General features: G+C 39.2%; 2 long non-coding RNA genes across 3 annotated transcripts in view; both read right to left on the bottom strand.

The window, feature by feature from the left end:
• The window catches only part of LINC01182 (long intergenic non-protein coding RNA 1182), a 276,050-nt gene that overhangs the window by 60,771 nt on the left and 190,487 nt on the right, over positions 1-24,792 (bottom strand). The gene's annotated exons all lie outside the window — the stretch shown is intronic.
• LOC107986182 (uncharacterized) overlaps positions 1-24,792 on the bottom strand; it is a 103,624-nt gene that overhangs the window by 66,041 nt on the left and 12,791 nt on the right. The window lies entirely within an intron of this gene.

Here is a 24,792-nt window from a genome sequence, read left to right as displayed (position 1 = left end):
ATGTCTGTATCCCACCCCCACCCCAAATTGATATGTTGAAGTCCTAACCCCAAATATGATGGTATTTGGAGATGGGGCCTTTGGCAGGTAATCAGGTTTAGATGAGGTCATGAGGGCGAGGCCCCCATGATGGGGTTAATACCCTTAAAAGAAGAAAGAGCTGTAAGTGCCCCTCAAAGAAGTATCTACCAGAGTTCTCTCTCTACCATGTGAGGACAAAATAAGAAGGAATTCTTCTGCAAGCCAGAAAGAGGGCCCTCACCAGGAATCAAATCACATACCTTGATCTTGGACTTCCCAGCCTCCATACTGTAAGAACTAAATATCTGTCGTGTAAGCCACCCAGTCTACATTATCTTGTTATAGCAGCCTGAGCTGACCAATACACACTTATTCTATGACTAGCACTTGCCAGGATTGGGGAAGAAATTCAGGAACATGGAACTTCATCTTTAAGTTAAAATCATTTTCTTATATATGCAAGTGCACCTGCAGGTAAACACACACACACACACACATACACAGATCCCACACACACACTCATAGATAAAACATGCAAATGTGACTGTCACTTGCAAAATTACCAACATTCACTAAATGTTTATTCATTCTTCCTGAAGGAATTATGCTTTCTGAATGCTTACAACTTATGATAAGCAAAAATAGACTGTTTTCCTTCAGCCAAAATAAAATCTCTGTGACCTTGGTGGTCAATTGACAGATAATCCACCTACCACCAAATAGTTCCTCATCATCACCTAATGCACAAATGCAAGAACTTTTAGGCATTGATTCTAAATCAGCAAAGTGTCAATAGATTTTCAATAGGGTCAAAAATAATTGAATCAACACTAAAATTTCCAAAGGCATGTGGCAGGTACTTTCAAGGATACTCTCCCTAGAGAAGTACTCCTACATGGGTCTGAAAAAGCATCTTCAAGGACATTTATTGCAACCTTAGTTGAAAAGATAGCTAATTAGAAAGAAACCTACATGGGTTACTTCAATAGGGAAATTGAAAAACAGGAGTATTTTGCTTGATTTTGTGTTTAATGAGGTAGCTCTATAAGTATTAGATCTACAAAAAAGCATTCACTGAAGAAAAATAAGTTTCAGATAAATACGCAAATATAATGTTTTTCATGTCAAATAAAACCAAAACACAAAATAACACTTTATATTGTCTCTGGAGATGTATATATATGTAAATGCACTTACTACAGACGGAAAATTACATAATAAAGAAGCACAGTGGTTTATTCTGAGAGGAAGGGAAGATAAATTAGATTGGGGAGGAAATGGACAAAGAAGATTTTGACATCTATAAAATTTCACTTTTAGTAAGAATATGCAAACATTATTATCATGTAATGGAATATTATTTTTTTAAAGAAAAAGCATGTAAGGTCATCTAGTCAATTGCAATACTGCAATGCAATCTGACACTACCTGAAGGTAGTGTCAGACCTCACAAATTAAAGATACAGTCCCCAACATGACTACCCTCACATCAGACAGCGGCCACAAATTCGGAGATCTCAGATTACCCGCCCTTCTGATCAACTGACTCCAAATCTGGGGTCTTCTCAAAACACCCCTCAGGTTAGATAGTTTATTAGAACTCACAGAACTCAGAAAAGTGCTATCTTTATCATTACAGTTTTACTGTAACAGACACAAATCAGTACCTGCCAAATGAAGACACACAGGGCAAAGTCTGGGAAAGTCCTAAAGGCAAAGCTTCTTGCCTTCTCCCTGTGGAATCAGGACATGTTGTTCTTCTGGTACATCAATGTGTTCAACAACCAGGAGGCTCCACAAAGCTTCAATGTCTAGGGCTCTCATTGGGGATTTATTATACAGTCATGATTGATTAAATAACTGGCTACATAATTAAACTCAATCTTAGGAAATTCCAAAGATTTAGAGTCCCCTTCCCAGAAACTAGAGACAAAGGCCAAATTCTTTGTTATGAAATACCAATTCTCTAGAGGCCAGCAGAACTCCACCTAGCTCATTTCAGCCTAGGGATCTCAAAGGCATCAGTCATAGCAAGAAGTCACACTCTACCAAATTTGGGCTCATGTATGACAAAGGAAGTTATACATTAGACACCACTATGGAGGTGCTGTCCTGTATTACTTGCGTACATTTTAGAAAACCTATTTTGTTCTTATAATGAAAATTTTTTCCCCTCTCTCTCACTGTTACTATTCTTTGTTGTAATTACATCTTGGTTAAATAGCAGCTGATTTTGCAATCTTTCTAGGTAACCCAATCTAATGCCAAAGAAAAGTGCTGTCTTATATCTGCCTCCAGCTTACCTACAGCAATAATAATACTGTGAAGACTAGCAGAGTGGACAAGACCTCTGGTTTTCAAGTCAGATAGAACTGGGCTCAAACCCCAGATCTGCATCAGACTCTATGACTCGACTCAGCTCCACACATCTCTTATCTCCCCAGCAGGCGAGGATGTGCAAATTTCTCACAGAGATGACCAAGATGAAAGAGACCTGCAACTGGCATACTGCTATGTCCACCTCATAGTATTGGCTAAAGCAACTCATGTGGCTGAGTCTAAAGGTAGAGCAAAAGGCACTTCAAAGTTACATGGTAAACAGTGTCAATATAGAGCCTGGTGAGGTGGCTCACACCGGTAATCCCATCACTTTGGGAGGCCAAGGTGGGAGGATGGTTTTATCCCAGGATTGCTAGACCAGCCTGGATAACATGGCAAGAGCCTGCCTCTACAAAAACACTTTTAAAAACATAGCCAGGCATGGTGGTACACACCGGTGGTCCCAGCTACTCAGGAGGCTCAGGCAGGAGGATTGATTGAGCCCAGGAGTTCAAGGCTGCAGTGAGCCATGATCGCACCACTGCATTCCAGGCTGGGCAAAAGAGTGAGAACTTGTCTCAAACAAACAAAAAAACAACAACAAAAAGCCTCAATACAGAGAAAGAGAAGAACTAAGGCCATTTTGGAATCCACCACAATAGCCAACACTTTTTGAGGACTTATGATGCACTGGGATATTTGCTAAGTAGTTTATATTCATTAATATACAACAGCATTATTACAATTTTGCAGATCAAGAAACTTGGGCTTAGACAGCTTAAGTAACTCACTGAAAGTGACACAACTAATAAGAGGGAGAATTTGAGTTTGAACCAAAAATTGTCTGACCCCAGGCCTTGAACCCTTAACCCAAAGTTATGTAGCTTTTATCAATCCCACATACTTTTATAAAGCTGAAAACTTAGGCAGAAACCACAATCATGTGGCATGAGCCATCATAATCTACCTCTCAATTACTGTGTAATATAACTCTCCTTGAGGCCATGTAACATTTCTCTCATTATTTGATCATATTTATCCAAACTGCCGGTTCTGAATTCCAATTCAACCACTTACTAAATGTGGTTAGCTTGGGTGAGTCACTTGACCATTGTCTTAGTATTCTCATCTGTAAAAGGGAAATAAAATGAATATCTACCTTACATAAATAAATAAATAATAAAACATCTACTTTAGAGAGGTATTGTATAAATTAAATGAAGGAAAACAATAATGATTTATAACAAAGCTATCTAATATTTATAGGACTTACTATGTCCTAGGCACTATTCAGACTACTTTTCATAAATTATCTTACTTAATCCTAACAAGGACCTGTAGGGATAGTACTATTATTCTTTACATACAAGGAAACTGAGACATTAATAGTTTAGGCAACTTTCCTCAGCTCACAGAGCTAATAAATCTCAAAGATCAAATCCTAACTGGGCTATTTGCTTCTTGGTATGTACTTTCAAACCAAGGGTAGTCGGATTACCAACAGCAATGACTTTTATTCTGGTTGATGTTGTGTTATTTCAGAGAAGGTACTCAGGGGTTATGCCCACAAGAGGGTTCTACCCCTGAGCTCATTAACCCCGTTTGTAAACAGGCAACCGAGTGACTCAAACAAAACCAGATTATGGACTTTGAGGACTCTCATTTCCTAAGGAGGAGAGCTCAAATGCCAGGCAGGCACGGCTCCCTCTGAGTCGTTCCTCTCCTGCAGATTAAAAACAGATGACTCTCAAGAGACCCACTTCTAGCAGGAAGCAGAGGAGGCACTTAACACCTAAAGTTGTGTACCTGAAGTGTTTGCTGATTCTACAAAGATTGATCTGAATGGTTCCAAATAAATAAAAATTAGCTGGAGATGAATGTGTGCCCTGCTTCCTAGCCTGAGATATTGAGTGTGGATTACACACACACACAAACCTAGTGCTCCCTTATGGCTCAGACTCCTGTCTTGTCTCAAAATCAAACCCTATGTTTTCTGGTGATTTTTTAAAATGGAGACTGATGAGGCACAATAGGACGGAATCCATTTTATCCAATCATCAAAGCTGTTATACCACTGAAACCACAGAGGTACAGAAAGGTTCCATAGTTCACCCAAAGTCATATTACTAAGATGTAGTAAAACCAATGTCCATCCCTATTTTTGTCTCTCTCCTGCCGCTACTATGTGAGCTGCAATAGTGTTTAGAGAGAACTTGCCTCAGTAAGTATGACCATCTCTAGCCAATTGTGAACTAGAGCCCTTCTGAACCCCTCCTATTATCTCCTTCAATCAAAAGGAATAAGTAACTATCAGGATAAGAAAATAAGAAAACTAGATTCAGAAATGCAAAACAAAACTGTCTTCCTTTGAGGTTCTATCCCTTAATACATTTTTAAGAAGTCAAAAATTCATTCAAAGGGAAAAATCCTAAAAGATTTTCATCTGTTGGTGACTTATGTGGTATTTTTGGATAAGTGATAAAGCAATATAGAAGAACTAGTTAGAAAGTAATTAGTAGCAAAAACAATGCTGCATTTACATCATTTCCTCATTCTATGCTTAGAAAAGTTCTACATTTCCAAGTCTATCCTGAAATGAGGTGAGTTCTGGCTAATAGACAATGGGCAAATTGATGCAGGCCATCTCCAGAAATTCCAGTCTCAGCAATTGATTCTAAAGAAATAATTGTACAGTTGCACAAAGCCGTATCACAAGAATGTTCATGTAACATTGTTCATAATAGAGAAAAGACCAGAAGTCAAAAAGGGGACTAAACAATTAATTGATAGTACATATACATGTACATATACATATACAAATAGATTTGAAGTTCTATGTACTCTTCAAAATGAATAAAGCAGTCACCGTTGTTGAATAGCTTGTGCCATACTAAACCTCCTATTGAGAACAACCTAAAAGTTGGATAATATATTTATTTAAAAGACATTTATTTATGATCCTTAGTATTTACTTAAAGAAACTGAAAACTTATCTCCACACAAAAGCCTGCACATAGGTATTTACAGCAGCTTTATTCATAGTTGCCAAAACTTGGAAGAAACCAGGATATCCTTCAGTATGTAAATGAATCCATAAATTATTCCATAAAATAGAATATTATTCAGTGCTAAAAAGAAATGAGCTCTCAAGCTATGAAAAGACATGGAGGAAACTTAAATGCTTGCTTAATAATGTGAAAGCAGCCAATTTTAAAAGGCTATATACTATAGAATTCCAACTATATGACATTCTGAAAAAGGCAAAGCTATGGAGATAATAAAAAGACCAATGGTTTACAGGGATTAGTGGAGAGGGAGGGATGAGTAGGCAGAGCACAGAGAATTTTTAGGGCAGTGAAACTACACTGTATGACATTATAATGCTGAATACACATCATTATACATGTCAAAACCCACAAGATGTACAGTATCAAGAGTAAACCTTTATGTAAACTATGGACTCTGGGTGATAATGTGTCAATGTAGGCTCATCAGTTGTAATAAATGTACCACCCTGGTGTAGGATATTGATAATGAGGGAGGCTGTGCATGTGTGGGGGTGGGGGATACATGGAAAATCTCTACATCTTGCTCAGTTTTGCTGTGAACCTAAAACTGTGCTCAACTTTGCTGCTCTGTACCTCCTTTTCAATTTTGCTGTGAACCTAAAAGTGCTCTTAAAAAACTAAAGTCTATTTTAAGCAAGGAAAGAGAAAAAAGCAATACTTTTTGGAGGTATCAGAGAACAACCAAGGCATATAAAAATTGAGGGGTCATACTCCCCAGAAAAAGGAAAAGTACTAAAATAAGCCCTCCTTCCAAAGTTGCTTTTTCCTTGGGGTTTTGCTAATCTGCAGCAAGGAGCACAGAAGGCAAACAGAAAGCAATGGCATAGAGTCTGCAGCAGTCTCACTGAAATAGAAAGGTAAGAATTGGAAGTAAGGGTAACTAAAGCAGCCAGGGATAGAGGAGCCCAGATCACAGAGAAAAGAGCTCTGAAGAAAAGTGAGCCCAAAAGAACACATGTTATTTGTCATTAAATTACTTCCTGATTCCTAAACTGTACAGTCGTAGAGCTACTTAATGAAAAGTAAGGCAGAAATCAGCTGCTAAGAAGCTAAAAAGCTATGGAGAGATTTAGGCAGTCTCATGGTGATGGGGAGAGGAAAACTGGAGTCCAGAGTCCATCATGGAAGAAAGGTCCTGATAGAAAACCCAGACCTTCCACTGAGAATACTTCAGGGGTGTCCAATTTCTGGCTTCCCTGGGCCACATTGGAAGAAGAATAAGAATCTCATAAGGTTTTAAGAAAGTTTATGAATTTGTGTTGGGCCACATTCAAAGCTGTCCTGGGCCGCATGCAGCCCACAAGCCACAGATTAGACAAGCTTGCTTAAAGGGTATTCCCAAGAGGAAGGGAACTCATAAACAGATAAGTCCTAATAAAACCAGAAACTCAGGTTTAATTGGATCAAGGAGTTCTCATATTTTATATAACTGCCAGAAGAAAAGTAAATGCTCCTTCAGGAAAGTAATGATATCCAGAGCTTCTAATGCCGACATAATGTAAGGCATTTAATCAAAAAATGCATGTCATACCAATAGAAAAGGACAAATGATCAAAAATCAATGAATAAATAAACCATAGAAACTTACCCAAAGATGATCACACAATTGAGTTCTCACATAGGGACTTTAAAGAAACTAGGATTAATGAATTCAATAAAATGTGAAAGGGTGAAAAGTATTACCATCTAAACATAATATTGAAAAAAAAGGAAAATTCTAAAATGGAAAAATATAATAACTAAATTAAAAGTCAAAGGCAGATTAAAGAAAGCAAAAAAAGAGAATTAGTGAACTGGAACACAGATCAGTTAAAAAAAGTTTATATTTATTGTTTTTGTTAAAATATTTGAGTTCTTTGTAGATTCTGGATATTAGTTATTTGTCAGATGCATAGTTAGAAAATATTTTCTCCCATTCTACAGGTTGTCTTTTCACTCTGTTGATTATTTCTTTTGCTGTGCAGAAGCTTTCTTTACCACTATGCAATATATCCATGTAACAAAACTGCACTTATACTCCCTAAATCTATAATTTTTAAAAAACAAAAAGAGTTTACATTGATGCATCAAGTAGAGAAATGAATATAGAGAGGAAAAGTAAAAGATACTTGGAACATAAATGGAAATGTCTAACATATGTCTCATTAGAGTCCCAGAAAAAAAGAGAGAGAGAATTGATCAGATGAGTATTTAAAGACAGACTGGCTCAGAATTTTTCTAAACTGGTGAAAAGACACAGATCCAAGAGTATCTCAGAACTTGAGCAACATGAAAAAAGAAACATGAAAGAAAGAAAAAAACACAAAAGAAACATCATAGACAAACTGTTAAAAAACATAGAGTGAAACTCTTAAAAGCAGAGAGAAAAAAATATATCCTCTGATTTTTTAGCAGAAATTACGGAAGCCAAAGACAATATAATGAATGTTTAAATACTGGACAAAAATAACTTATCAGTCTAAAATGCTTTTGCTAGTAACTAAAAAAATATCTTTCAAAATGAAGATCCAAACCAAAAACCAAAAACCACCTTGATATGGTTTGGTTGTGTCCCCACCCAAATCTCATCTTGACTTGTAGCTCCTATAATTCCCATGTGTCGTGGGAGAAACCCAGTGCAAGGTGATTGAATCATGGGGGCGAGTCTTTCCTGCACTGTTCTCATCATAGTGAAGGACTCTCAAGAGATCTGATGGTTCTATGAGGGGGAGTTTCCCTGCACAAGCTCTCTCTTTTTGCCTGCTGCCATCCATGTAAGATGTGACTTGCTCCTCCTTACCTTCTGCCATGATTGTGAGGCCTCCTCAGCCACATAAAACTGTAAATCCATTAAACCCTTTTTCCTGTATAAATTACCCAGTCTCAGGCATGTCTTTATCAACAGCATGAAAACAGACTAATACACAACTCTTCCACAAAAACTGTTGAAATAAATAAATAAATAACAAAAATAAAACCTACTATACCAAGTATTGGCAAAGATATAGAGCAACTGGAATCCTCACACATAGCCTGTGAACACCCGAATTATTTATAGTTGCTTTGGCAAAGCTCTTGGTGGCAGCAGCTAATGCTGAATATGCACATTATTTACATCAGAGCAATTCCACTCCTAGGTATGTATTCAAGAAAAATTTGTGTGTGTGTGTGTGTGTGTGTGTGTGTGTGTATTTATCAAAAGACACATAAGTAAACAGTCATTATTCAGAGCAACTCAAAACTACAATCTAAAAGTCAACTAAAGGAAAATGAATAGATTATGGTACATTCACACAATAGAATACTATATAGCAATAAAAATGAACCACTATACCACTATTCCATGCTATAATGTGGAAAAATTTCATAGCTATAACAAGCAAAGGAATCCAGACACAAAAGAGTTGATATTGAATGATTTCACTTATATTAATCTCAAGAAACGGCAGAACTACTCTGTGGCGAGATAATTTAGAATAGTGGTTACATTCAGGAAGGATGGGTTAATGACTGGGAGGGATGTGAGGGAGAATTCAAGGACAGTGGTAAGTAGAGGTTACACAGGTATATTCACTTGTGATTAAAAATAGAAATCACAAAAATTATGTATGCTTTGCAGTATGCTTATAATTTTAAAAATATTTTAAAGTTTAGATCTAAATGTGTAGACATAAAACGATGTCTAAGCTATAATATTGAATAAAAAGAGCAAGTTGTAGAACAGTCCATATAGTATGAGTGTTTGTTAGAAAACTAAGCTTTTAAAGTGCTATATGTGTGGATCTGGAGGAATATATTGCCTCTAGTAAAGGCTGTGTGTGACAATAAGAGACTTTCCCTGCTGTAATTCTATATTCTTTATTATTTTAGTTTTTCACAACAAGCATTAACTGCTTCACTGTTGGGGATTTTTGTTAGAATAAAGCTTCTGAAAAGCTTTTGGGAGGTGAGGACTTGAAGTGAATCGTAACTGAAATAAAGACATGGCATGGAGAAACAATTGGTATAAAAAAATAATTTGAGTTTGATCCTTTTGCTCTGATGACTGCCTGGGCACAGGAAGTCAGAGAGGAGTTGAAGTGTCTGCAACGTCTCAAGCAGGGGCCTTAACCACTTAAGCAGTCAGTGAAACCCCAGTATCCAAAATACATATTTTCACCCAAAGCCAAAAATTAAATGATATGTCCGGGACTTCTGTTACCCTTCCTCTCCACCCAGCTTCCAACTCTTTCCTATATGCTATATTTTAACCAACTTTATTTCCTTCCAAAGTCTTCTGTATTATCCCCCTCAGGAGTAAAATGTATTCTGCCATATTACTTTCAATTACCACTTAATAATTTATGAAATTACTCAGCATCATACCTGCAGTATTTCAGTCAGGCCCCATGGCATTGTAATGAGGCTTGATTTAACATGGTCATTATAAATGCTGCTAAAGGTTAATAGGGAAAAAAGTTTCATTCCAATGCGTTTGATTTCAATCACTTAGAAATAAAATAAGCATCTGTCACTAAGCATAGGACTTCCTTTTCCTGTAAGCAGCAGGGTGTGATTATTTCCCTCACAAAAGTTTAGCAGAATATAAAGGACTATGATCCGGCAGAAAGCCAACCTGTGGGAAGCATGGTGCAGAGCAGAATTTTCCAAGGATTTCACCATAGACTTTTTGGTCAGTACAATTCTTTGTTGTGCAGGACTGTCTTTCATGTGGAAGAATACCCAACATTCCTGACCTTTGCCCACTAAATGTCTGTAGTATCCCAGTTACTGCTACAGCCCCAGATAGCCCTGAGAATTTTCAAATCCCCTCTTGGGGGCAGCACTCCTCCCAGTTTATTACCATTAGTTTACAAGTTTAGAAAGTCTAGTTTATGCTGAATAGCTTTTTTTTTTTTTAATGTAACAACAGAAAAAAGAGTAGCTGTATGTGATCTCAACCATCCTCTGAGGAGGACAGATCCTTTGGTTTTTGAGCCCTTCAGTGGAGGACTGGAACCAGCTCATCATAGCTCTCAAGAGCTCAATCTCTTCCTGATGCAATATTCATTGACTTTGCATTAGTAGTTTGAAATCATCCACGGTGATAATTTTTGGAAAGCAAGTTGTTAGGCGTTCATCAGTGCACCCTTTTTAACAGATGTATAGTTACAACCATAGGAGCTAGGGAGACCTGAATTATTACCCATTATGGAGAAAAAAGAATTTGCAGCTTTCAGGGAACAATGGAGAAAGAATTTGAGAACAGGGATAGAGAAAAGGAACAAAGTAGAAAATTGCAGCCTTACTCTGTTGAGACCATCAATCTTCAATAAATTCCTCTTAAATTAAAAAACGCTTAAAGCTAGAAAGAAGCCAATGAAAATGCTGAATTGTACCTGAATCTATTCATTTCAATGAATAAATTTGAGTCTATTTATTCATTCAAAAAATATTTATTGGGCACCTACCACATCCTGTTCTACGCACTAAGTTGACATAGCCATTAAAAGACAAGACATATAACTGCAGAAATATGAGACAGAGGAGCTTCATAAGAAGTAAATTCCAGAAAATATATAGAAACTTTATGGAGAATTTTGAACATTTCTTTGGAATCAGTGAAGCCTTAAGAAAATCATACCTGGATACGAAAGGAACAAAAAACTGAATTTCAAATGGAAAATGGGAATTTCCACAGAGATGAGCGAAACATCCAATTTCTTGGCATCTGAGGCTGAATTGCTTCCCCACACTCAATCCTAAAAACAGCATACCTCTGCCAATCCCTTAACCCTGGCACTTGGGAGGTGCTCATATCAAGGGAAGAACAGGATGATAAGATGTCTGGAGGCCACATAACCAGGAAGATACTACCCTTGGAGAAGCTCAGGGAACATAGGCTCTATCTTCAAATATCTGAGGACTGTCAGGAGAAATTAGATGTTTCCTCACTAGTTTTAAAACCAGGGCTAAAAACAACAGACAGAAATAATAACAGGGTTGTGGATTTAATCTTAATAGGAGGAAAAGAAAAATGCATTTCCAACAGTCACAGCTGTCATTTGAACCACTATATTGCATTCCTACTTCACCATGTCAACAAGAGAAAATCTGAGCTCTTTAATGGCTCCTAGAGATTTCTGATGACCCATCTGGTTCCTGCTTGCTGCACCAGCTCCGATATCTTCCGCTTCTGCATGGCATTTAATGTTCAACAAAGATCAAACTTCTTGTACTTTAGTACATACCAAGCTGTTTGTTCTCTCAGTGCCTTGCTTCTGCTTGAAATGTCCTGTCCCTTCTTGATTTGTTTATATTCCTCTTATGCCTTAAGACTCTGCCCATGTAACTGAGAGAACTTGCCCCTCTTATCTGTTCCCATAACATGCTATATAGATCTCCATCATTGGTCTTCTGTATGCATATAACTAAAATAAATTTCTGAGAGTGTATCTATTACTGTGATGGTTGAAAAGAGCTAAATGGATTTTCATCTAAGTTGCTTCCTTATGGAATAGTCTATATTCAAAAATGGACTATGCTGTAAACATAACATTTACTTAGGTGTGCATGTTGACACTTACAAACAAACAGTCATTGTCCAGAGCATCTGAAGCTGAGGTGCAAGGAAAAGCACATAAAACTATAAATTGTGACAGGTGTGTCATATAGATTTAAATATTATGACTAGAGAAAAACAATGACAGCTTCAAATATGAATCCCAAATCAAAACTCACAAGGATGGACACTCCAAATCAAAATTGTTGGTTTAAAATTGAGTTGTTTTTCACAAGTGTAACTTTCCACCATAGATGAGAAGTGTTCTTGATCAGTACTCAGTAGACTAGCTGGTTCTATTAAACCCATCTGATTGCTTCTTCTCTCCCAATCAGTGAATTAGTCAAAGGCAGAGACCTGGTATGTTGTGTTCACCATTGTATTTCCCCTACTTAGCCAGGGAGGAAGAAATTCAAATAACTGGCCAGTAATCCATTTCTCTCCCAGTTATCAGGAGAATAGTCTAGGGAAAGAAAAAAGGAAGCTAACCCAATCTAACCTCCTGTAAACATGCTGATAACTGGAACTCCTGGCAAATGAAATCATGATGTTTCCTAGAAGTGGGTAATTATTTATGCAATCTTTTTAGCAGGATGTTCCTGGTTTAGAATCACTTGTGGTAGATAGACCTAGAATCTAAAGATTTATGTGGTATAGTTTCCCAGAGCATGTCACATTGATTATACCACACTCTGGGGTATAAAATGGAGATGTTTCTTAATCTAGACAATCCACTGTGGGCAGGAACTCACAGACCTCACTTAGAGACCTTCTCCATTACGTTGGGCCAGAGATTCTATATCTGATTCTGGAAGGAAAGACCTGTGGAGTCCCACCAAATGCTCTGGACTGCTGTCAGCTTTACCTGTGCCACTTGGTGGTATGTGTCCATGAAACTATTAGTAAACATTGACACCAGGTAAGATCTCCGAGTTGTGTAAGTCTGATTTGACAATCCAGTCTTCTGTGTTAGCTCACTAGCATCATGCCTGCCTCAGTAAATACAGTTAAAACAAGTATTCAGATCAAATGTGCCTTTTTGTCAGTTAGTTCTCATTGCTGGAATTATTACAATTAAAGCTAGAAGACAATCTTTCAAAGATACCATCTAGTGGAGTTCTAGGTTTGATGGCAGCTTGTACTACTTTAAACATTAAAAGCCTCCAACATTAATAGTCCACAGCAGAATACTATGCAGCCAGAAAAAGAAATGCAATTATGTCCTTTGCAGGGACATGGATGAAGCTGGAAGCCTTCATCCTCAGCAAACTAACACAGGAAGAGAAAACCGAACACCGCATGTTGTCACTCATAAGTGGGAGGTGAACAATGAGAGCACATGGACACAGGAAGGGGAACATCACACACCACAGCCTGTTGGGGGTTGGAGGATGAGAGGAGGGAACTTAAAGGATGGGTAAATAGGTGCAGCAAACCACATGGCACATGTATAACTATGTAACAAACCTGCACATTCTGCACATGTATCCCAGAACTTAAAGTAAAATTTAAAAAAAGAGAGAGAGGGAAAATAGTCCATAGCATAATAATCCATTTTTAAAAGCTTGAATCTTAGGCACCCCAGCCTCACCTGAGACCTCAATTAAATGTTAAGCAAACTGTAACATAAAGCTCCATTGGCATGGCTCTTGCAGCTTTAGAGGGACAGAACCAAGAGTGATTGACTCATCAAACCCATAAAAAAAAAAAAAACTCTGAGATATTTTTGATATATAGATGTTATGATCCTATAATAACCCGGTGAGATTATAAGGGAGAGAAGCTATTATTCTATCTCCCAGGAAATAGAGGGTAAAAGTCATTTTTCCTATCTCAAATAGTTAATATTTATCCGAAGTAGGCCTCAAATCCAAGTATTTGGCCTCCTGAGTCAATGTTCTTTCCTCAGTATTCTGTGTGTTGCCTGTGTTGCACTAGAGCCTGCCAAAGAGTGGCAGGGGTGGCCCTGCCTGGGGTGGCAAAGAAGCACAGCACCAGAGGAAGCAGCGGTCCTTTTTTCAAAACCATCCTACTCCTAGGGCTCTTCCACTCTGTGGCTGCGATGGTAGTGGCAGCCCTGATGATTTCTAAATTGCCTTCACGGTCATTCTCCCATTGTCTTGGAGAATAGCCCTGAACTTCTGTTCAGATGGCAGATCTAAACTAATCTCCTTATCAAGTTGATTGGGCACACCCTTTATGTTCCTTCCCTGAACAGGTTTTATCATTCTTTTCAATAAGAATAGGCTGAGAATGTTCCAAATCTTTACATTCTGCTTTCCTTTTGATTAGCAATTTCATCTTTAAATTATTTCTCTCTTCTCACATTTTACTATAAGCAGTCAAGAGGAGTCAGGTCGCTCCTCCCAAACTTTGCCTAGATAATTCCTGGGCTAAATATCCCATTTCACAAGTTCTAACTTCTACAAAACACCAGGGCATAAACACAATTCAGCCAAGTTTTTTTGCCCCTTTATAGCAAGAATGGTCTTTGTTTCACTATCCAATAGCATATTCCTCATTTCCATCTGTGATCTCAATAGAATGACCTTTACAGTCCATATTCCCACCAACATTCTGTTCATTACCACTTAGATACTCTACATTTAAGAATATTGAGGCCTTCTCTACAGCTCTCCTCCTCTCCTTCTTGGCCCTTCCCAGAATTACCCTTAACAGTCTGTTCACAGCAATGTAGGCTTTGTTTCACATGCACTTCAAAACTCCAAAATGGCTTCCACATTTCTAGGTCCTTGTTATAGCAACACCCTACTCCCCATATCAATTTCTGTGTTAGTTAGTTTGGCCTGCTATAACAAACTAATATAGACTGGGCAGAAATTTGGCCAGGTGCGGTGGCTTACGCCTGTAATCCCAGCACTTTGGGAGGCCTAGGCGGGCAGATCACAAGGTCAGGAGATTGAGACCCTTCTGGCTAACACGGTGAAACCCCGTCTCTACTAAAAATACAAAAAATTAGCCGGTCGTGGTGGCGGGTGCCTGTAGTCCCAGCTACCCGGGAGGCTGAGGCAGGAGAATGGCGTGAACTTGGGAGGCGGAGCTTGCAGTGAGCCGAGGTCGCACCACTGCACTCCAGCCTGGGTGACAAAGCGAGACTCCATCTCAAAAAAAATAAAATAAAATAAAATAAAATAAACAAAAACAAAAAACAGGAATTCATTTCTCCCCACTTTGGAAGGTGGAACAGGCAAGATCAAGGCACTGGCAGATTTGGTGTTGGGTGAAGGCTCATACTTCCTGATTGGTAGATGGTCATCTTTTTGATTCGTAGATGGTCATCTTTTTGCTGTATCCTCACATGGCTGAGGGTATGGGGGAGCTCTCTTTATATAAACGCTAATTCCATTCAGGGGGGCTCTGTCTTTATCAACTAATCTCCTCTAAATGCCACCATTTAGGGATTAGGATTTCAAAGGGACACATTCAGTCTATAGCACCTACCTCACATACAACATTGTAAATGTTCCATGACAGTGAATGTGTATTCAGTACTCTGGTAAAATTCAGAGTACTGATGGATTATCGTAATAATGATTCTATGTCTCTGCATCAAATTTCGTAATTTCTTATCCCTTTTACATTTATTATCTCATATTACTTACCCCAACTGTCTTCTAAGACAGACAGAATTGATAGATAGATAGATAGATAGATAGATAGATAGATAGATAGATAGATAGTAGGTAGATAGATAGATAGATAGATAGATAGATAGATAGATAGATAGATAGGAGATACAGCATATAGAATTTTTTTAAAAAGAAGGAAACAATATGACTTCTTTTAACATTGTTAAATGAACTGGCTAAAGATGAGTAACTGAGAGTAAAACTCCTCATGGTCTGATTTTAAAACTCCATGCTAGATGTTACATAAATTCTATAAAACAGCAAGAAATTTCACTCCATCCCTTCTTGAGAAATTTATAGCCTTATGAACATGTAGGGCTTTTTAATACATGATGTGTATTATCTAAAAAATTTAATCCACCCTGGAAATAGGGTATATGATTAAGGGTTTCAAAGAGTGCTTAAAGATCAAAGGTAAAAGAATCCTTCAACATATGCAGAAATTACTCTTTGATCACAAAGCCAGTAGAACTATGACCACCACGGAATTCCAAACATGTAACACAGACACAGACAGACCTAGGCATGTTGTAGATATTCTCTAAATCCTTGGTTTTATACGTAATTTCATTTTGGCTGAAATATAGGGAGGTAATGAAATGACCTTGATTTTTTCCCAGGTCCATGCATTGGTCGCCAATGTTTTCAAAAAGAATTCACCAAACCAGAGTTTCATTATCTTCATCAGTAAAATAGAGGCTTTCTGGAAATAATTTCAATTGTCCACTAAAATCTATTCTTCCTTTCTTCCTGGGTACAGAGATAATCTGAATGTTCCAGCTTCCTCTACAATTTGGTGTGGCCAAATTTTGGTGTGTCTGAGCTGATGGATCATGAGTGGAAGTGTTGAGTGTCACATGAAGACCTAACCTAAAAAATGCCCAGACTCTTGCATAGTCGTCTCCTTTCCATGACCGGAAGCCAATAATAATAAGTGAGCAAGCTTTGGAAGCCATACACTAATGATAATAGAGCCACTGTCAACCTCAGTCCCTGAAAGACGGTGTGGAACAGAAATTTGCTCCTCACTGCCAACCTCCAACCCTTTGCTGACCTGCAACATCCCTGCTAGATTCTTAGGTGAGAAGGAAACAAGCCTCCATTGTTTTGAACTACCACACTTTTAGCTTCTTTCTTGTAGGAGTTAAGCCCACATAAACTAATACAAATGATAAGGTACTCCGTAACAGTAAAGAATTGTTTTTCTTAAGCATCTTTCAGCAGTTTAATTTTTAAAACATATGTCAACTTTAACATCAACCTGTTTATTTTAATAATATGTTGTTCACAGTAATGAAAATATCTCTCTGCCACCACTCTACAATTTCTCTTAAACTATCGCTTTCATCATGTCAACTCTAAATCAAGAAAATTCAGTGATTCCGAACACCAACTATACACCAAGTTTGGCATGGTTTGATCCAAAAAAAAGAAAAACTAGTCACACCCTGTAAAAAGGGGCAATTTATGGAATAGGCTAATTCCCATTTAGAGCCAAGTAAACTGACATCCAGAGAGGTAAGTAACATGGTGTGATTTAGGAGCACAAGGAAGGCCCATCTCTGTTAGCCTGTCTGCATTTACAGATCATTGCTGGAGTAAAATGCACTACTGAAATTTTAAAAGCATGGTAATTTGGACTGCCAACAGATATAACAGGGCTTCTAGCTTCTCCTACTCTAATCTGTCCCAAACATCACTTTCAAATTATTTTCTGTAAAGCACCACTTTGTTCTGCTGTTTGCAAACTCAAGAACTTATCATGGTTCTCTATTGTTTTTTACTCTGTCTGTCAAGAATTCCATCTATGATCTGGCCCTACTTTGCCCTCAACCTTATTTTTCACCACTCCTTATCAATCTCCTACTGAGCAAGTCATGTAACCTCTATGATTTTTACCTTCTCATTTGTAAAATGGGCATAACCCCAACCAGCTTTGCCTTCTCCTGCTAGTTTTCCAAAATCATGGTGAGAATTCAGTGAGATGCTACATATGATAGAATTATGAAAAAAACAAAACATCCAAACCAAAATACAGTGTCTTGGGCCAGCGGTCCCCCACATAATGAGCATCAGAATCACCCAGAGGGCCTGTGAAAACCCAGATTGCTGGAGCCCACCCTCAGATTCTCTGATTGTCTAGTTTGGGGCCTGAGAATTTAGTTTCTAACAAGTTCTCAGGTGATGCCGATGCTGCTGATTCCAGGACCACATTCTAAGAACTCCCACCTTATCCTAACCCTGCTGTGAACACCATGCCCCAGGCATCTTTCAAAGTCACCTCCCTTCATGTCAGGGAATGTGTCACTCCAGGCTGGGTCTCAGTCCTCATTAGTCCTCCCAGGAACATCACACAAAATGGAAGGGAAGAGTCAGGAAACTGTACTTTCTTCTCAAAGAAGTTATTTATACCTGGCCAGCCTCTTGACAAGGTCCTGTGAGGGTGGAGGTCCAGAGCTGAAGCACCTGGGGAGGGCTGAACACAAAGGTGGGTGAGAGGGATGGGTGATATTGAGGCAGCCACCAAACAGAGAGGCTGCGTGAGTCACAGCAGCGATATCCAGGAAACAATATTATGATGGGACAGATCACAAGGCCATGGAGAGCTAGCTCCCTGACAGACCCTTTCATCCGCAGGAACAAAAGCACATGGTGTGCTCAGAGGAAACCTCCAGGGAAGGCTTCAGCCCAGATGTCCTGACAGGCTCATAGGAATATTTCCTTTTCATGGCAAGGGAGCCATTCTCTCTCAATGCCTTTCTGAGTGTGGCTGTGGCTGATAACAACATAATTTCCCTTGAAAAATGTCCTTTCCTTCTCTCCCTCTCATTCACCATCATATGCCCCCTAAAGGACAGAGAGACACAGAAAGAATGAATAACAATCTTCTACAAGGTTCCTTTAGCCATCTCATCATGCTGATGCACCCAGAATATTAAGCCAAGGCCAAGGTACACTCTCCCACCTGCCCCAGTCACCTGTCCACAGGTAGGATGCTGTGGCCCCTGGTGATGAGGACACCTGGGGTAGCCTTGCACACCCCGCTATGGGCACCAAGCTGCCGTCATCCCCTGAATTAAGCCCTCTCTCCTCTCAGCCTTGGGGAGCTGATGCAGCTGCTGCTGGATGCCCCTGGACCACCTGATGGCAGTGGAATCTCCATGGGAAAGGGGAACAGGTGAAGCCACCCACCGGTGTGGCTTCTCCTTGATATTCTGCCATCATAGTTCTCCTGGGTATTCCACCACCGCCTTGCCTGGTCACAGAACAGCCTGGGCTTCTCAGATATGCAAGTGACTCATTTTCCATCCATCAGAGATGAGACTTAAATAAATTAAAAGGTACTTCGTGGGGCGGCTGGGCCTAATGATAAGCAATTATAGGAAGCCAAATGAAGGCAGTGCTTTGTGCGGGGCCTGTGAAATTGGTTAAGCAAAAAGAATAATGGCCTGTTTCAGTGATTCATCCCTTTGCTCATTTCAGAGGGAGCATTATCTCAGTTAAGTGATGCAATTAATATGAAAATGAGGGAATCATTGTTTAAGGAGATGAGGAGAAAGTGAGGAGGGGGCTGGAAGCCACAGTGGGGAAAACTAAGGGCCACCGAGATGGAAATTTGCATAGGTCAGTAGCAATGTGATGCCTTTAGCACGCACTCAAAGCTTAGCTAGCATTGTAATACGTCGCCATTAAATTCTCATTACGGTGACCTGTGTCCAACACAATTCAATTTTTCAGAATCTTAATGATAAAAAGTTAATTATGCTAAGGTGAAAACCTTTTGTACTGGGCCCTAAAATGAAACAGAAAGGGCACTGTGACTACCTTCAGGATACTGCAGGTAGAGCCAGGAAGGCTTAATTTACTGCTTTATTAACCATAACATGATTTGCAGGTTGATTTTTTTTGTGTGAGCTTTGCAGATCTTTTGTAATGAAGTCAAGAGGGATAAATAGGGTATTTGTCTCTCCTCTTCACTTTTTTTTTCCTTCCTAGGTTCTCATGGTATTTTTCCACTCGTAGCTTCCAGACCATATTTCAAGGACTGGTTGATATCCTTGGACATTGAATAGGAAGAGAGCAGGGCATGAGGGTCGAACAGGTGGCAAAGACAGCAGAGGATCCAGAGCCACCAGGCTGGGCTTGGTGGCAGGGTTGTCACCGGCTCACTCTATGCCTTGAGTGCAGCATTTCATACCCAGAGGACTCCCAAGCAGAGCAGGAGAAAGGACAACAGTCTGATTGTTGCAGCAGAAGATTGCAGCTAGTTTCTGCCACTTCTCTGCTCTGTGTCCTTGAACCAGTTACCTAACCTCTCAGACCTTCAGCATTCCCATGGGCAAGAAAACAATAATGTTACCTCCCTTGCAGGAATTGTAGTGAGGATTTGGCATGGAGTGAATACAGTGTTTTATATCTGGTGGGGGAGGAGGAGGCATTGTTGTCATCATCATTGTCATTATTATGGTGCTTAAACCTCCTCCTCCACAATAAGAGGTCTGCAATAAACATCAGTTCCCCTCCCATGTGGTTTTCATTTATAAAACCATGGGGGGAATCCTGGCATTTAGATCCTGACAAGATAGAAAGGTAGCAAAGATTGCTGGCTCCCTCCCTTCACAAACTTAGCCCTGAAAATCCCCAAAATAAGGAAAAGAAAGTTGAAGTATCTCTCAAACTAGCATAAGAACTATGAGAATCCAAGGAGCAGGAGACGGTTGTAACCAAACCGAACTGGGTTCTGCTCACCCAGAACAGTGAGGACAAACATCTGCACCAAGGTTTGCAGCAGGAGAAAGGGCTCCAAGAAGAATCAGACAGCTCCTGCTTAAGAACAAAACTCCCACATGGCTAACAGGCAAGAGTTTGTAAAGGCAGAGAGGCAGAGGTTACAGGCAAAGTCATAAATCAAGACATGGAGGAAATACATTGGTTTTGTAAGAAGACAAAACATCTTGAGAGGGGAAGTCAGGGGGTCCTTAGGTCATAGGTGGGTTTGAAGGTTTTCTAATTTGCAATTGGTTCAGGAGGCAAACCTTTGTCTAAAAATTTGGGATAGGAAGAAAAGAATGTTAGCTCTGGCCTAGGAACTTCCTCCAGGCCCCTCAAGAAGAAATTTAAAACAAAGAAATGTGATCAGAGTTCAGTCTTCATTTCCTTCTGATCTGAGGTCTACGTGCAGCAGACCCGGTTGGTAGCAGTTCAGGTTTTTAAAAAACAACTCAGGGACATATGTTAAGATGTGAACTTTGGTTTCTATAGGGAACCATACATCCCATGACTCCAACTTCCTTGGCTATTGTTTTAAGCTACTATTACCTTCTTGCTTATTAAGTTGCATTTACTTCTCAGGGGTAACTAGGTACTTGAAATTTCCCTTGAAAAAAACTCAGATTTTCCTTCATTTCCATGCTTGGTGGGAGGTGGGTGTCTGGCAGATACCCAAGAGGGGTTCCTGCTCCATCTTGGGGTGATTGAGTCCTCTGGAGATAAAGTGGAGGGGTAGGAGATGCAGCAACCCAGAGGAGAAGATGTCCAAGGCAAACCATTGCAAGGCAACAGGCAGTGGGGTAACATCAGAATGGCACATGGGCCAGCTGAAGCAGAAATATTTATAGTAGTAGATTATAAATAATGTATGGTAATAGTAGTACCAGTAATAACACTGATAGAAATGCTAATAATAAAAGGAGTTACAGTTCTTGATGCTATTTTTGTACTTTTTATAGTGCCGATGATCCTTCATGGTCAATCTTATTAAGTATATAAAAGGAAATGTATTATTTCCTCCTTACATTGCTACAAAGAATTACCTGAGACTGGGTAATTTATGAAGAGAAGAGGTTTAATTGACTCATGGTTCTGCAGGCTGCACAGGAAGCATGGTTGGGGAGGCCTCAGGAAACTTACAGTCATGGCAGAAGGCGAAGGGGAAGCAGACATATCCTACATGGCTGGAGCAGGAGAAAGAGAGGCAGGGAGGGTCCAACACACTTTTAAACAAGCAGATCCTGGGAGAACTCTCTCACTGGACAGCACTTGAGGGACAGTGCTAAACCATTAGAAACTGGCCCCATGATCCAATCATCTCCCACCAGGCCTCTCCTCCAACACTGGGGATTACCATTCGGCATGATATTTGGGCAGGGACACAAATCCAAATCATATCAGCAAGGGATACATATTTTTTTTAGTAGCAGGAAAACACAATTTATAACACTAGTATCGTGAGTAGGCAAAACACCCATAGATATCTACCCTGACAGATTGCTCTATCTACCTCTGAGGTAAAGTATTTAATATTATGAAGCAATGGTCTCAGCAGAACTTACTCTGAATATATTCAGATGAGGGTTCATACAGTTGGCTCTACAATGTTTGGATGCCAAGAAAAATACCAAGACCTGGATAACAACGGATCAAACAGAAAAGGCAAGAATATGAAACCAGAGTGAAAAAATAAAGATTCTTTATACAGTAGGAAGAAGATGTGTTCATCAAATAAGAAGTTTAGGGGTATTTTGAGGATTAAAAAAAGGGATGTGCAAACATGATAAGCAGTGAAAAACCAACAAGTCACAAGAAATCGAAAGGATTAGATGAGTATCAGAAAACAAAAAAAAATGTCAAAACAGGAAGAAGACCGAAATCAAAGCACCCTCCTGCCCCAGTCAGGAAGCTACTGATATGCTTCCTGCAGTGACACAAAACACTCCTGAAATTCACTTGTAAGCCTGAGAAATTTGTGACAAAGGGAAGTATTTAAAAATAGGAGTCCCCTGTGTCATGAGTGAATTTAGCCCAACTTCAGCCAACTTGACTGATTTTATAGATCAAAACATCCATAAGTCAGGTGCAAAAAAAAAAAAAAAAAACACTACTATATGATCTCATTTATGTGGAACCTAAAAATGTTGACCTCATAGAAGTAGGGAGTAGGAGAGTGGTTATGAGAGTCTGAGGTGGTTAGGGCAGAAGGGAGATGAGATGTTGGCCAAAGGATATGTAATTATAGATAAAAGGAATAAGTTCAAAAGATACATTGTACGGCATGTGACTATATTGAATGACAATATATTGTATTCTTTTAAATGCAAAGATAGTGGATGTTAAATGTTCTCACCACACAAAAAAAAACTATGTGAGATCATGTATTTGTGAATTAGCTAGATTTAACTGTTTCCACAATGTACATATATTTCAAAACATCATGTTGTTCCATATATACAGGTTTCCCTGTAAATTTAAACAAATTTTTAAATTAATATATATACAGGTATCTCTGTAAATTTAAACAAATTTTTTTGAAGTTCACAGTATTTTACACCAGTGGTTCCTAAGCATGGGTTAGCATACAATTCACCTGGGAAATGTGCTAAGTTTCATATTCCCAGACAAAAAGTTCTGGAGTTAGAGCCCAGGACTCAGTATTTTCAACAAGTGGTCCGGATAATTTTTATGTAGCTAGCCAGAAAGATGCCTGAAGGACACAAGTAATTTGGAGAATCACTGTTCTGTAGAGCCCAAATGGTCTGCTTTTCTAGAAACACTAAATATGTTTCCTTTTAACAAGTTTATTCATTAAATAAATGTTTGCTCAGTATGTACCATGAGTGAAAATGAAGAATAAGGCAAAACTCCTGACATCCTTCAAAGACCTGAAAGTGTAGGATGGGTGGTTCAGGCCTGGGCACTTGAACTGTAACACAAAATATAGTAAAACAAGTTCTATAAGGATGTACAGCAATAAAGAAAAGGGCTGTTGATTTTGGCTGCAGCCATCTGGGACGATTCTGTGAAACAAAGGGCATTTGAAGTGAGCCTTGAAGGATGAGCAGGGTTTAAATAATGGATGAACAAAGGAAAAGTGCTTCATGAAGAAAAGCATAAGCAAATGCATGGAGATGTGAGAAGGTAGAGGGTAGATCTGGCTAATGACGGGTAGAACAGTGCTAAAATATTCAGGGTGCACTGTCTGAGACAGAGTATCACAGGCCCTGAGCATACTGGAAGGATGTTGGGCTTTTGTGGATAGGCTATGGAGAGAGACATTAAAGATTTTTAAAGACGAAAGTAGACATGATTTAAGCCTTGTTATGGGAGGACGATTCTACTACAGTGTAAATCAAAAATTAAACAGGAAAAAGACTAGAAATGGGGACACATTTAGCTAGCTATTATAATGATCCAAATAAGAAAGAATGTGGCCCAAATTTGGAAAACAGCCCTGGGGTACAGAGGAGGGGGTGTCACAATACTGATATCAGTTTTGCCACTTACTAAATGCCTGTCCTTGGGCAACACTGAATCTCTCTGGGCCTCAATTTCTCCCTCTGTAAAATGAGATTAATAATGACCTGCCAGGTCTTCTTACCATGACTGTTATGGAATATGTAATCATGGAAATCACAGGAAGTGCTTTGTAAGTGTAAGGCATTACTGGCATTAATGATCATGATGAAGTCTTTACCAAAGGTGGGGAAGTCAGTAGGAGACAGCTGTGAGACCAGCATTGCTGGGGGAGGCAAGGCAGCCCTCGCCCTTTTCTAAAGCCCTTTCACCTTTAAGCTGTTTGACGTTCTTATTAAGTCTCTTAACACACAATTCAGACAAATCGTAAATCAATTGCCCGACTTTGTCTTAAGTCATTTTGGACTTTACGCTTGTCTTCTATAATATGTGCTTCTTAACCCACATGTTTTCCCCATAGGCACACATTTCAATAGCTGGGTATATTTAGAAGTAACAGAAACATCAGAGAGATAGCAACATCTTACCTGAAGCTTAGTGTCTATAGGCAAATGAGCGAATGGTACAGATTTCCTGATTAAGCAAACAGGCCATCTTCCCTGACAGGAGAAAAGCGGGTAGTACAACATGTAGATCCTTGGGGACAAGACTTGGGCTATTGTGCTGAATGTGTATTTTAGTCTTTTCTGGAAGGCAAAGGTGACTGCAGAAGGTGACACTATTCAGCCTTTTAAGTGATGTATCCAGCTTCAGCATGAGACCGTAAGAGGCCTTAAGCAGGAACTTCTATCAAGATCACCTTTTCTTCCTCATCTGTCTCCAAGAGCCCTGCTAAACACGTCTCCCAAGATCCAGTGCTGATTATCCATTTGCACATGAAAATTGCAGAAACTTCAGGTTCTGAAACCCAAAATTGTGATTTTTTTTGGCCCCAAATCTGCTGCTCCTCCTTTGTCAGCTCTTT

Source organism: Homo sapiens, chromosome 4 (assembly GCF_000001405.40).
Source record: "Homo sapiens chromosome 4, GRCh38.p14 Primary Assembly".
Lineage (NCBI taxonomy): Eukaryota > Metazoa > Chordata > Mammalia > Primates > Hominidae > Homo > Homo sapiens.
The sequence above is the reverse complement of the archived record's forward strand: the minus strand, read 5'-3'. Positions and strand labels throughout refer to the sequence as shown.